Genomic DNA, 12,268 nt, shown 5'->3' on the forward strand with positions numbered 1-12,268 from the left:
CAAGAGAGCAGCTGAATGCCTTACGATGGAAGGAGACTCCTAGTATACTCTGCATCTAGATAGCCAACCCCTCGAGATGCTCAGCTTTTCTTTCCCAGTCCCAGTTTTCGTAAGTTGGAGACACATGGCTGGTCAGCCAGTTGGATGGTGCTATTGAGGGAAAGGAGAAATGATTCCTGTCCTCTGGATTGTGTCAACTGTGAAGGAAGACAAAACCCCAAAAGACAAGGAAAGCCCACCCCAACGGGGTGGACCAGTAGCCTGCAAATCAGAATATGAAATTGAGGTTCACAGCGGGGCATAGTGCGGTGTTGGTGGAAAGTAGTCATGAGCGCTTCGGTGAGCAGGATGGGGGTGGAGAGATGTCTCATGTGATAGGGTGACCTGTGCTGACACATGAGTCAGACATCACTGTGTTCCAGCCAGTATTGCCCCTCTGTGGGCTTGTCCCTTGTAAAGAATAGTTCATAGATTGCAGCTTGAGTATTTCAAATTAACTTTACGTTGCATTTTTCACTAGAGCCAAATCCAAGAATGATTGCATAGATCAGGTAAGACACAGAAGAGGCAACTCAACAAAGCCCATGACATACAGTGCATGGCTCACAATCCCAGGAGATGAGGGCAGCACAGCTGCAGAGCAACACAGAGTGGGGAGAACATCCAGGATGCACATTCAACCAGCAGGTGGGGAGCAAGACAGACAGGGACCTGTGGGCCAAAGCGTTTCTCAGGGTCCAGGGAATTGAACAAGGAGACGTCGCTCAGGGAGTTGTTTCTGGTGGATTTAGAGCAAGCAGGCACTAGTTCTGTGAAGTCATACTGTGATTAAGAGGTGGTCTGTACCATCCATGTGGGGTGTAAGGGTCAGTGGTACAAGTCAAATTGGTTATATCTAGCTGTCCCACAGGGAGGTGGTCACCAGAATGCAGTCGTGTAAGAAATATATGTGAGTTGACCACATGGAGGAAATGGGAGGAGGTGGAGAACTAGAAACTGTTAAGTTTGAATAAAGTTTTTTTCCGTTATGAGAAAGTTAAATCCATAAAGAAAATGCATGCTAAGGTAACATATAACTATAAGAACTCAGTATAAGAGGCAACTCTAGAATTAATTAAATTATTGTATGTGGAGATGATGGGTAGTAAACTGATTATTCTCCTGTAGATAACCATTTGTCGCTGCTTTTTCTGTTAAGTGTTCACCACTTGTATCATTGGCTGGCAATACCTGGTTTGTCATAGTTTCACATTACCTTAAACAGATGCCCAGACTGGGCATGGTGGCTGACGCCTGTAATCCCAGCACTTTGGGAGGCTGAGGCGGGCGGAACACCCGAGGTCAGGAGTTTAAGATCAGCCTGACCAATATGGTGAAACCCTGTCACTACTAAAAGTACAAAATTAGTCAAGCGTGATGGTGCATGGCTGTAATCCCAGCTACTTGGAAGGCTGAAACAGGAGAATCACGAGAACCTGGGAGATGGAGGTTGCAGTGAGCCGAGATCACACCATTGCTCTCCAGCCTTGGCAACAAGGGCGAAACTCCATTAAAAAAAAAAAAAAAAAAAAAAAAAAAGATTCCCTGGTTTCACAATTTGCTGTTTTCCATTGGTCTATCTTTCCATCTCTCTGATAATACCATTTTCTCTTAATTAGTATAACGTTCAAAGCTGTGGTGTTTAGTGGGTATATTGCCTGTCTATCTTAGTCATCTTGGGCTGCTATATCAAATTACCATAGACTGGGTGACTTAAGGGATAAACATTTATTTCTGGCAGTTCTTGAGGTTGTGAAGTCCATGTTAAGGGAGCTGGCAGATCTAGTGTCTGGTAAGGGCCCGCTTCCTGGTTTTGCAGATGGTCATCTTCTTGTGTTTCTTCATGTGACAGAGGAGAGGAAGCCGGCTCTCCTGTGTCTTCTTATAAGAGCACTAATCTCATTCAGAAAGGATCGACTCTTATGCTGTCATCTAATCCTAATTACTTTTCAGAGATGTCAACTTCTAATACTATATTGGGGGTAGGTTATTAATGTGTGATTTTTTTGGAGTGATGCAAATATTCATGCCGTAACACCCCCCAACCATATTCTATAGAGCATCTTGGCTATTCTTAGTCATTGTCTTGTATTTCGGTTTTTAGAAGTAGTTTTTTCTTAATTTTAGTGAAAAAAACAAACTGCCTTGTAAATTTCATGGACTAAAATATAACTGTAGTCATATTTCAGAAACGTTACATCATAGTGCTATTTAATCTCCTTTTAAGGACACATGACATTTTTTCATTTATTTCATTTTATATTGATGTTTTTCAGTGTAGACTTTTTGCATAATAATCATTTTATATCCTTCCTGAGACTTTTTTGGACTTGAAGAAAATTAGTTTTAATAGAAATTAGTGGCTGGGCATGGTGGCTCATGCCTGTAATCCCAATATTTGGGAGGCTGAGGTGGGTGGATCACCTGAGGTCAGGAGTTCAAGACCAGCCTGATGAACATGGAAAAACCTTGTCTCTACTAAAAATACAAAATTAGCCAGGCCTGGTGGCACATGCCTGTAATCCCAGCTACCTGGGAGGCTGAGGCAGGAGAATCACTTGAACCTGGGAGGCCAAGGTGGCGGTGAGCCAAGATCACGCCATTGCACTCCAGCCTGGGCAACAAGAGTGAAACTCCATCTCAAAAAAATAAAAATAAAAATAAAAATAAAGAGATTATTCCAGCATCGGCAACATGGCAAACTTTGCCTATACAAAAAATTACCTCGTCACTGTGATGTGTGCCTGTAGTCCCAGCTACTCAGGAGGCTGAGGTAGAAGGATCTGTTGAGCCTAAGAGTTCGAGGCTGCAGTGAGCTATGATTGCACCGCTACACTCCAGCCTGGGCAACAGAATGAGACCCTGTTTGAAAAAAAAAAAAAAAGAGTCAGGTGCGGTAGCTCACGTCTCTAATCCCAGCACTCTGGGAGGCCGAGGCGGGTGGATCACAAGGTCAGGAGATCGAGACCATCCTGGCTAACATGGTGAATCCCCGCCTCTACTAAAAATATAAAAAATTAGCCGAGCGTGGTGGTGGGCGCCTGTAGTCCCAGCTACTCGGGAGGCTGAGGCAGGAGAATGGCATGAACCCGGGAGGCGGAGGTTGCAGTGAGCCAAGATGGCGCCACTGCACTCCAGCCTGGGTGAGAGAGTGAGACTCCATCTCAAAAAAAAAAAAAAAGAAAAGAAAAGAAAAAAGAAAAAAATTAGTTTCAATAGAGTGTGCTCTTTTAAAAATTATATTTAGCAGACTGTTGCTGATAATTATAATTCACTGATAGTTATTTCTGTATAGAGTGTGCATTCTAGAATCTTACTAAAAATATTACATGTGCACAAAATACATAAAAGAATTGCACAATTAATCCAAATAATGATGGAGCCAGTATTGGGAATAAGATAACTGCCTTACATTTTTTTATACTTTCACAACCTGGGTATGCATCCTCATCAGTATGTTTTATTTTTGCATGTTTTTCATGCAAATGATAACCAATATGTGATATTTCATATTGGATTTTATTTTAACTCAGTTATGAACCTTATATGGAATGATAGTTAATTCACTTTCTTATTTAATGGGTTTTATTATTTAGAACAGTGGTTATTTCCCCAAAACATTGAGCAGATAATCCACAGAGTTCCCGCAGTTTTCTTCCAGGCTCATAGTTCCTCCTGGCTTTTTTTTTTTTTTTTTTTTTTTGAGACAGAATCTCGCTCTGTTGCCCAGGCTGGAGGGCAGTGGCATGATCTCGGCTCACAGCAACCTCCGTCTCCCGGGTTCTAGCAATTCTTCTGCCTCAGCCTCCGGAGTAGCTGGGAATACAGGCACACACCACCACACCCAACTAATTTTTGTATTTTTAGTAGAGAGAGGGTTTCACCATATTGACCAGGCTGGTCTCGAACTCCTGACCTCATAATTCACCCACCTCAGCCTTCCAAAGTGCTGGGATTACAGGCGTGAGCCACCACGCCCAGCATAGTTTCCACTGTTTTAAACATCTTGACTGGCCAGGTGCTGAGCCTCATACCTGTAATCCTACCATTTAGGGAGGCCAAAGCAGGAGGATAGCTTGGACTCAGGAGTTGGAGGCCAGCCTAGGCAACATAGCAAGACCCTGTTTCAAAGAAAATAATTGTTTTAAACCAAAAAAACCATATTGACTTTGTGTAGTGTATCCTACAACTTATGCAAGAACATATTACATGTGAACATGATGAAAATTGAAGAAGCCAATGTTATTATTACCTAAAGTCCATCTTTTACATTAGGCTTCACTCTTTGTGTTCTGTGGTTTAAGACAACTACATGTGTCATGTATCCACCATCACAGTCTTATACAGAAGCGTTTCACTGCCCTCAAAATCCCCTGTGCTCCTCCTAATTCTATCTCTCCCTTCCCTCTTTTGCCACCCCTATTTATCCCTGGCAACAAATGGTGATGTTCCTGCCTCCGTTTTGCATTTTCCAGAATATCACATATTTGGAATGATGCTGTAAGTGGCCATTTCAGACTTGCTTCTTTCATGTAAAAATATGCATTGAAGGTCTCTCGATACCTTTGTTGCTTGACAACTCACTTATTTTTTATTTTTCTTTCTTTATCTAAAGATTTTTGTTTTGTGAGAGACAGGGTCTCAAACTCCCCAGCTCAGGTGATCCTCCTGCCTGAGCTTCCCAAATGCCTGGATTCCACTTGTGAGCCACCATGTCCGGCCACTCATTTTCTTTCATTACTGAGTAACATTCCATTGTACAGATGTTACCATAGTTTGTTTCTTTATTCATCTACTGAAAGACTCATCTTGAGCCTGGTGTGATGCCTCATCCCTGAGTTCCCAGCACACGGGAGACTGAGGTGAGATTGCTTAAGGCCAGAAGTTAGAGAACAGCCTGGTAGATACAGTGTGAGAACTTATCTATTTTTTTTTTTAAAGACTCACCTTGTTTGATTCTAGTTTTTGGCAGTTATGAGTAAGGCTGCTAAAAACATTTGTGGGAGGACTTTTGTGTGGACATCAGTTTTCAGTTCATTTGAGTCAATATGTAGGAATGAGACTACTGAATCAGTAAGACCATGCTTATTTTCTTCAGAGCTCCACAGACTGTCTTCCAAATTGGCTGTAGAATTTTCCATTCACATCCCTAGTGAAGGAGAGTTCACTGTCTCCAGCATTTGGAAGTGTCAGTGTTTTGGATTTTAGCTACTCCACCAGGTATTTGCTGGTGCTTTATTTTTGTTTTCCTTTTTTTTTCCCTTTGGAGACGGAGTTTCGTTCTTGTTGCCCAGACTGGAGTACCATGGTGTGATTGAGCTCACTGCAGCCTCTGCCTCCCGGGTTTAAGCGATTCTCCTGACTCAGACTCCCAATTAACTGGGATTACAGGTGTACGCCGCCATGCATGGCTGCTGTTCGTATTATTAGTAGAGACAGGGTTTCACCATGTTGTCCAGGCTGGTCTCAAACTTTTGACCTCAGGTGATCCACCCGCCTCAGCTTCCCAAAGGGCTGGATTACAGGCATGAGCCACTGCACCCGGCCTGTTTTCATTTGCTCTTTAATAACATGTAATGTAGGGCATCCTGTCATATGTTTGTTTGCCATAATTACATTCTTTAGGGGGAGGTATACTTGGAAAGATTGGGCTTTTTTTTTTTTTGAGACTGAGTCTGGCTCTGTCACCCAGGCTGGAGGGCAGTGGCGTGATCTCGGCTCACTGCAACCTCTGTCTCCTGGGTTCCAGCGATTCTCCTGCCTCAGCCTCCTGAGTAACTGGGATTACAGGCTCACGCCACCAGGCCCAGCTAATTTTTGTATTTTTACTAGAGACGGGGTTTCACCATGTTAGTCAGGCTGGTCTCAAACTCCTGACTTCGGTGATCCACCCGTCTCTGCCTCCCAAAGTGCTGGGATTAAGGCATGAGCCACCGTAACCGGCCTTTTGCTTATTTTTTGATTGGTTGGTTTTTTTCTTACAGAATTTTAGGAGTTCTTTATACCTTTTGGGTACAAATCCTTGATCAGATAGGTGTCTTGCAAATATTTTGTCCCTGTCTGCTGCCTCTCTTTTTCTTCTTTTAACAAAGTCTTTTCCAAAACATTTTTGTTTTGAATGAAGTCCAATTTATCGATTTTCTCATTCACAGATCATGCTTTTTGTGTTGTGTGTGAAACCTTATTGCCAAATCCAAGGTCGTCTTGGTTTTCTCAGTGTTACGTTCTAGAAATTGTGAGTTTTGCATTTTCCATTTAAGTAAATGATTCATTAGGAAGTAGTTTTGTAAAAGGTGCAGTTCTGTGTCTAATTCATTTCTTTGCATTTGCTAATTCAGGTGTTTCAATACCATTTGTTTTGTGCCACCATGCCTAATTTTTTACTTTATTATGGAGACAGGGTCTCCTTATGTTGCCCAGGCTGGTCTTGAACTGAGGGGCTCAAATGATCTGTCTGCCTTGGCCTCTGGGTTTGCATTTTTAGTACATGTCTTTATAGTAGATGTTTCTATGTTCCTAGTGCCTCTCTTGTCATCTTATGGAATCTTCTCTTTTATATTTAATTTATTGAGCATTTTTAATCATCAGGAGATATTAACTTATTTATGCTGGAGGTTGCACTTTTTTGAATTGCCGACGTGTGAAAAATCAGACTTTGGCCATGACCTTAAGCAGTAGGATATAAACAATTCCCACATGCTTAGCGTTCCAAAAAGGGAACACTAGGCATAAATTGGTTAAGGCTTGTCAGATGCCTTTTCTGCCTCTATTAGGACATTCTTATGGTGTTTTGTTTGTTTTAAGAGTCTCACTCTGTTGCCCCGGCTGGAGTGCAGTGGCGTGATCTCGGCTCACTGCAACCTCTGCCTCCCAGGTTCAAATGATTCTCCCATGTCAGCCTTTCAAGTAACTGTGACTATAGGCATGTGCCACCATGCCTGGCTAATTTTTGTGTTTTTTTAGAGATGGATTTCCACCATGTTGGCCAGAGTGGTCTCAAACTGCCGACCTCAAGTGATCCGCCCACCTTAACCTCCCAAAGTGCTGGGATTACAGGCATGAGCCACCATGCCTGGCTGCTACCATGATTTGTTATCATTACTTATCTTAAAACAAAATGTGAAACTTATCAGCTTAAGAAATTTTACATGTACAGTTGAGATAGTTTGACAGATCTACATAAGTTCTCTAAGATGAATTCTATTGTATTTTGCTTTTTTCAATTATCCTGAGGTTTCATGCATGTTGTAGTATAGGCCAAGATGTTATTTTCTTTTTTTTTTTTTTTTTTTTGAATCGGAGTTTCACTCTTGTTGCCCAGGCTGAAGTGCAATGGTGCAATCTTGGCTCACCGCAACCTCCTGCCTCCCGGGTTCAAGCAATTCTCCTGCCTCAGCCTCCTGAGTAACTAGGTTTACAGGCATGTGCCGCCATGCCCGGGTAATTTTGTATTTTTAGTAGAGACGGCATTTCTCCATGCTGGTCAGGCTGATCTCAAACTCTGTCCCTCAGGTGATCTGCCCGCCTCAGTCTTCCAAAGTGCTGGGATTACAGGCGTCAGCCACCATGCCCGGCTAAGATGTCATTTTCTAAGAGTAAATAATATCCCATTTTATATATATGCTTACCACATTTTGTTTTTCCATTTAGCCATCAGTGGATATGTGGGTGGCTGCATTGCTCATTACTGCCACCTCAGGAAGGTGGTATAGTGGTTAAATCTGTGCTTATGACACCTGGGTATCTCTTAAGAGTTTCTTGTTTGCCCTCTTGAGTACATACAGTGCCAGGTATTTTTTAGGAATGTCCCCTTTGCCCTGTCAGCATCTATCTAGCTACATTCTGACAGGATAACTGCAAAATGAATGATTCCTGGGCATCATAATGGAAGTTTCTTTCTACCTAGGTTATTCCCCTCCTCTCTGCTTATATCTAGCATGCCTGATTTGGGTGGTCCCTGGGGGAGTGTGATTTCCCAGGGGCTCCCCCTCCTGCTCTTTGCTACCTACATGCTTCCTCTGACAATATCATCAAAGATTACACTTTGGGAACAGGCATTTTCAAGGATACACAGCCTCAGGACTGCTAATGTTAACTTTTTCTGCATATTAATTCATAGGACTCTGTCATGACAGATGCTACAGTCCAAAGACCCACAGTCCAAAGAGACATTAGGGACAGCCCAGGCAACTCACTTTTCTCCCTGGGTTCGGTAAATACATTTCCTATCCTGCTGTGGCTTTAGCCCTTGTTCAGTTCTAGCATCACAATTGCTTTATGAACTAGCCAGGTGTGGTGGCACATGCCTGTGGTCTCAACTACTCAGGAGGCTGAGGCATGAGAATTGCATGAACCCAGGAGTAAGAGGTTGTAGTGAGCCACGATGGTGCCACTACACTCCAGCCTGGGTAACAGAACGAGACGCTGTCTTAAAAAAAACAACTGCTGGCCAGGCCTGGTGGCTCACGCCTGTAATCCCAGCACTTTGGGAGGCTGAGGCAGGCGGATCACCTGAGGTCAGCAGCCTGACCAACATGGAGAAACCCCGTCTCCACTAAAAATACAACATTAACCAGGCATGGTGGCACATGCCTGTAATCTTAGCTACTCAGGCTGAGGAAGAAGAAGTGGTAGAACCCCGGCAGTGAGCCGAGATCACGCCATTGCACTCCAGCCTGGGCAATAAGAGTGAAAATCTGTCTCAAAAAAAAGAATTGCTTTATGGAAGAAAGTAAGTATACACAGGGAGAAAGAGATCTGATGACCCTTGGAGTCCACGGCATCCTGAGAACTTCTTGAGAATAGAGTCTAGGCCCCCAGTGCTGTCACTCTCACCCATCCTCCTCTACACATGTGAGATGTTTCAGGACCCAGTGGCCTTTGATGATGTTGCTGTGAACTTCACCCAGGAGGAGTGGGCTTTGCTGGATATTTCCCAGAGGAAACTCTACAAGGAAGTGATGCTGGAAACTTTCAGGAACCTGACCTCTGTAGGTAAGGATGACATATTCCTTCCCTCAGTCCATTAGTGAACCAGTGTTTCTAGCTCATCAATGCTGTTGAGTGATTTAGAACATAGACAGGAAATACTTTGATGAATAAATGAGGTATGGCTGCAGTAAATCATGGGCATAGAATCTAATAATTTTTTCACAATTTTATACTGCCTCAGGACTATTTTTCTGTGTCTATATTTTAGGAAAAAGTTGGAAAGACCAGAACATTGAATATGAGTACCAAAACCCCAGGAGAAACTTCAGGTAATTTGTACTTACAAGACAAAGCAGTGTCTCTCTAGACAATCTTAGAATATGACAATATATTAAAAATAAGTAAAAGAACTAAGTCCAGGATCAAATACATTTATTTTTAGAATATTTGATCAAAAAACATATATATAAATGTGACCTAGGCTGTGGGCTCACTCCTGTAATCCCAATCCTTTGAGAAGTGGAGATAGGAGGATAGCTTGAGGCCAGCAGTTCAAGAACAGCCTGGGCAACATAACGAGACCACATATCAACAACAGCAAAAAATTAGCTGGGCATTGTGGTCTGTAGTCCCAGCTACTCAGGAGGCTGAGGCAGGAGGATCACTTGAGCCAGTAAAGGCTGCAGTAAGCTATGATGATATCACTGCACTCCAGTGTGGGCAACAGGACGAGACCCCTAAATAAAAGAAAAATGACACAGAGTATTTAGTATTTGTAAAATAGTTTACATGGGAAGAGTATTAAGAAGCCCCATATAAACAGTTTTTTAAATAATAGTTATGGCTGGGTCACCTTGTACAATGGGTTGTCCAGTCACCTTCAAACAATTCAGACAGGGCAGAAAGCCTACACTTTGATGGACAGTGTTAAAAATGCAAGTTCAGTACTTGTTGATTAATATAAAATTACTTATAAACAAACCCTTTGTAATGTGCTTCTCATTTTTGACAGGAGTCTCATAGAAAAGAAAGTCAATGAAATTAAAGATGACAGTCATTGTGGAGAAACTTTTACCCAGGTTCCAGATGACAGGCTGAACTTCCAGGAGAAGAAAGCTTCTCCTGAAATAAAATCATGTGACAGCTTTGTGTGTGGAGAAGTTGGCCTAGGTAACTCATCTTTTAATATGAACATCAGAGGTGACATTGGACACAAGGCCTATGAGTATCAGGAATATGGACCGAAGCCATGTAAGTGTCAACAACCTAAAAAAGCCTTCAGATATCACCCCTCCTTTAGAACACCACAAAGGGATCACACTGGAGAGAAACCCTATGCTTGTAAAGAATGTGGAAAAACTTTTATTTCCCATTCAAGCATTCAAAGACACGTGGTAATGCACAGTGGGGATGGACCTTATAAATGTAAATTTTGTGGGAAAGCCTTCCATTGTCTCAGTTTATATCTTATCCATGAAAGAATTCACACTGGAGAGAAACCATATGAATGTAAACAATGTGGTAAATCCTTTAGTTATTCTGCTACCCTTCGAATACACGAAAGAACTCACACTGGAGAAAAGCCTTATGAATGTCAGCAATGTGGGAAAGCATTTCATAGTCCCAGATGCTATCGTAGACATGAAAGGATTCACACGGGAGAGAAGGCTTATCAATGTAAGGAATGTGGAAAAGCATTCACGTGTCCCCAGTATGTTCGTATACATGAAAGGACCCACTCTAGGAAAAAACCCTATGAATGTACGCAGTGTGGGAAAGCATTATCCTCTCTTACAAGTTTTCAAACACACATAAGAATGCACTCTGGAGAAAGACCTTATGAATGTAAGATATGTGGGAAAGGCTTTTGTTCTGCCAATTCATTTCAAAGACATGAAAAAACTCACAGTGGAGAGAAACCCTATAAATGCAAGCAATGTGGTAAAGCCTTCATTCATTCCAGTTCCCTTCGTTATCATGAAAGGATTCACACTGGAGAGAAACCCTATGAGTGTAAGCAATGTGGGAAGGCCTTCAGATCTTCCTCACACCTTCAATTGCATGGTAGGACTCACACTGGAGAGAAGCCCTATGAATGTCAGGAATGTGGGAAAGCCTTCAGATCTATGAAGAACCTTCAAAGTCATGAAAGGACACAAACACACGTAAGAATACACTCTGGAGAAAGACCTTATAAATGTAAGCTATGTGGGAAAGGCTTTTATTGTCCCAAATCATTGCAAAGACATGAAAAAACTCACACTGGAGAGAAACTCTATGAATGCAAGCAATGTGGTGAAGCCTTCAGTAGTTCCAGTTCCTTTCGATACCATGAAAGGACTCACACTGGAGAGAAACCCTATAAATGCAAGCAATGTGGGAAAGCCTTCAGAGCTGCCTCAGTCCTTCGAATGCATGGTAGGACTCACCCTGAAGATAAACCCTATGAGTGTAAGCAATGAGGGAAAGCCTTCAGATCTGCCTCACACCTTTGAATGCATGGTAGGACACACAATCAAGAGAAACCATGAATGTAAAGAATGTGGGAAACCCTTCAGGTCTGCCCAGAACCTTCGAATTCAGTAAAGGACACAAGCACACATAAGAATGCATTCTGGATAGCTGAACAAAAGGCAGCAGAAACTTCTGCAGACTTAAATGTCCCTGTCTGACAGCTTTGAAGAGAGTAGCAGTCCTCCCAGCATGGAGTTTGAGATCTAAGAATGGACAGTCTGCCTCCTCAAGTGGGTCCCTGATCTCCAAGTAGCCTAACTGGGAGGCACTTCCCAGTAGGGGCCAACTGACACCTCATACGGCCGTGTGCCCCTCTGTGACGAAGCTTCCAGAGGAAGGATCAGGCAACAACATTTGCCGTTCTGCAATATTTGCTGTTCTGCAGCCCCTGCTGGTGATACCCAGGCAAACAGGGTCTGGAGTGGACCTCAAGCAAAATCCAACAGACCTCAGCTGAGGGTCCTGACTGTTAGAAGGAAAACTAACAAACAGAAAGGACAACCACACCAAAACCCATCTGTACATCACCATCATCAAAGACCAAAAGTAGATAAAACCACAAAGATGGGGAGAAACCAGAGCAGAAAAGCTGAAAATTCTAAACATCAGAGCGCCTCTTCTCCTCCAAAGGAACGCAGCTCCTCGCCAGCAATGGAACAAAGCTGGACTTTGACTTTGACGAGCTGAGAGAAGAAGGCTTCAGATGATCGGTAATAACAAACTTCTCCAAGCTAAAGGAGGATGTTCGAACCCATCACAAAGAAGCTAAAAACCTTGAAAAAAG

At 42.7% G+C, this 12,268-nt stretch overlaps 1 protein-coding gene across 8 annotated transcripts in view; it reads left to right on the top strand.

Annotated features, from left to right (window-relative positions):
* The window catches only part of ZNF69 (zinc finger protein 69), a 92,441-nt gene that overhangs the window by 6,885 nt on the left and 73,288 nt on the right, over positions 1-12,268 (top strand). For 2 of the 8 annotated variants that reach the window (XM_017027231.2, XM_006722874.4), the window contains exons 2-4: positions 8,898-9,033; positions 9,239-9,299; positions 9,983-10,221. In XM_017027231.2, the coding sequence (XP_016882720.1) occupies positions 8,898-9,033; positions 9,239-9,299; positions 9,983-10,221 (436 nt within the window). Of the gene's footprint in view, positions 1-8,897; positions 9,034-9,238; positions 9,300-9,982; positions 12,031-12,268 lie in introns of those variants that run through there. The other 6 variants (NM_001364731.1, XM_047439351.1, NM_001321163.2 and 3 more) reach the window with 5 other exon arrangements.

Source organism: Homo sapiens, chromosome 19, assembly GCF_000001405.40.
Source record: "Homo sapiens chromosome 19, GRCh38.p14 Primary Assembly".
Classification (NCBI taxonomy): Eukaryota; Metazoa; Chordata; class Mammalia; order Primates; family Hominidae; genus Homo; species Homo sapiens.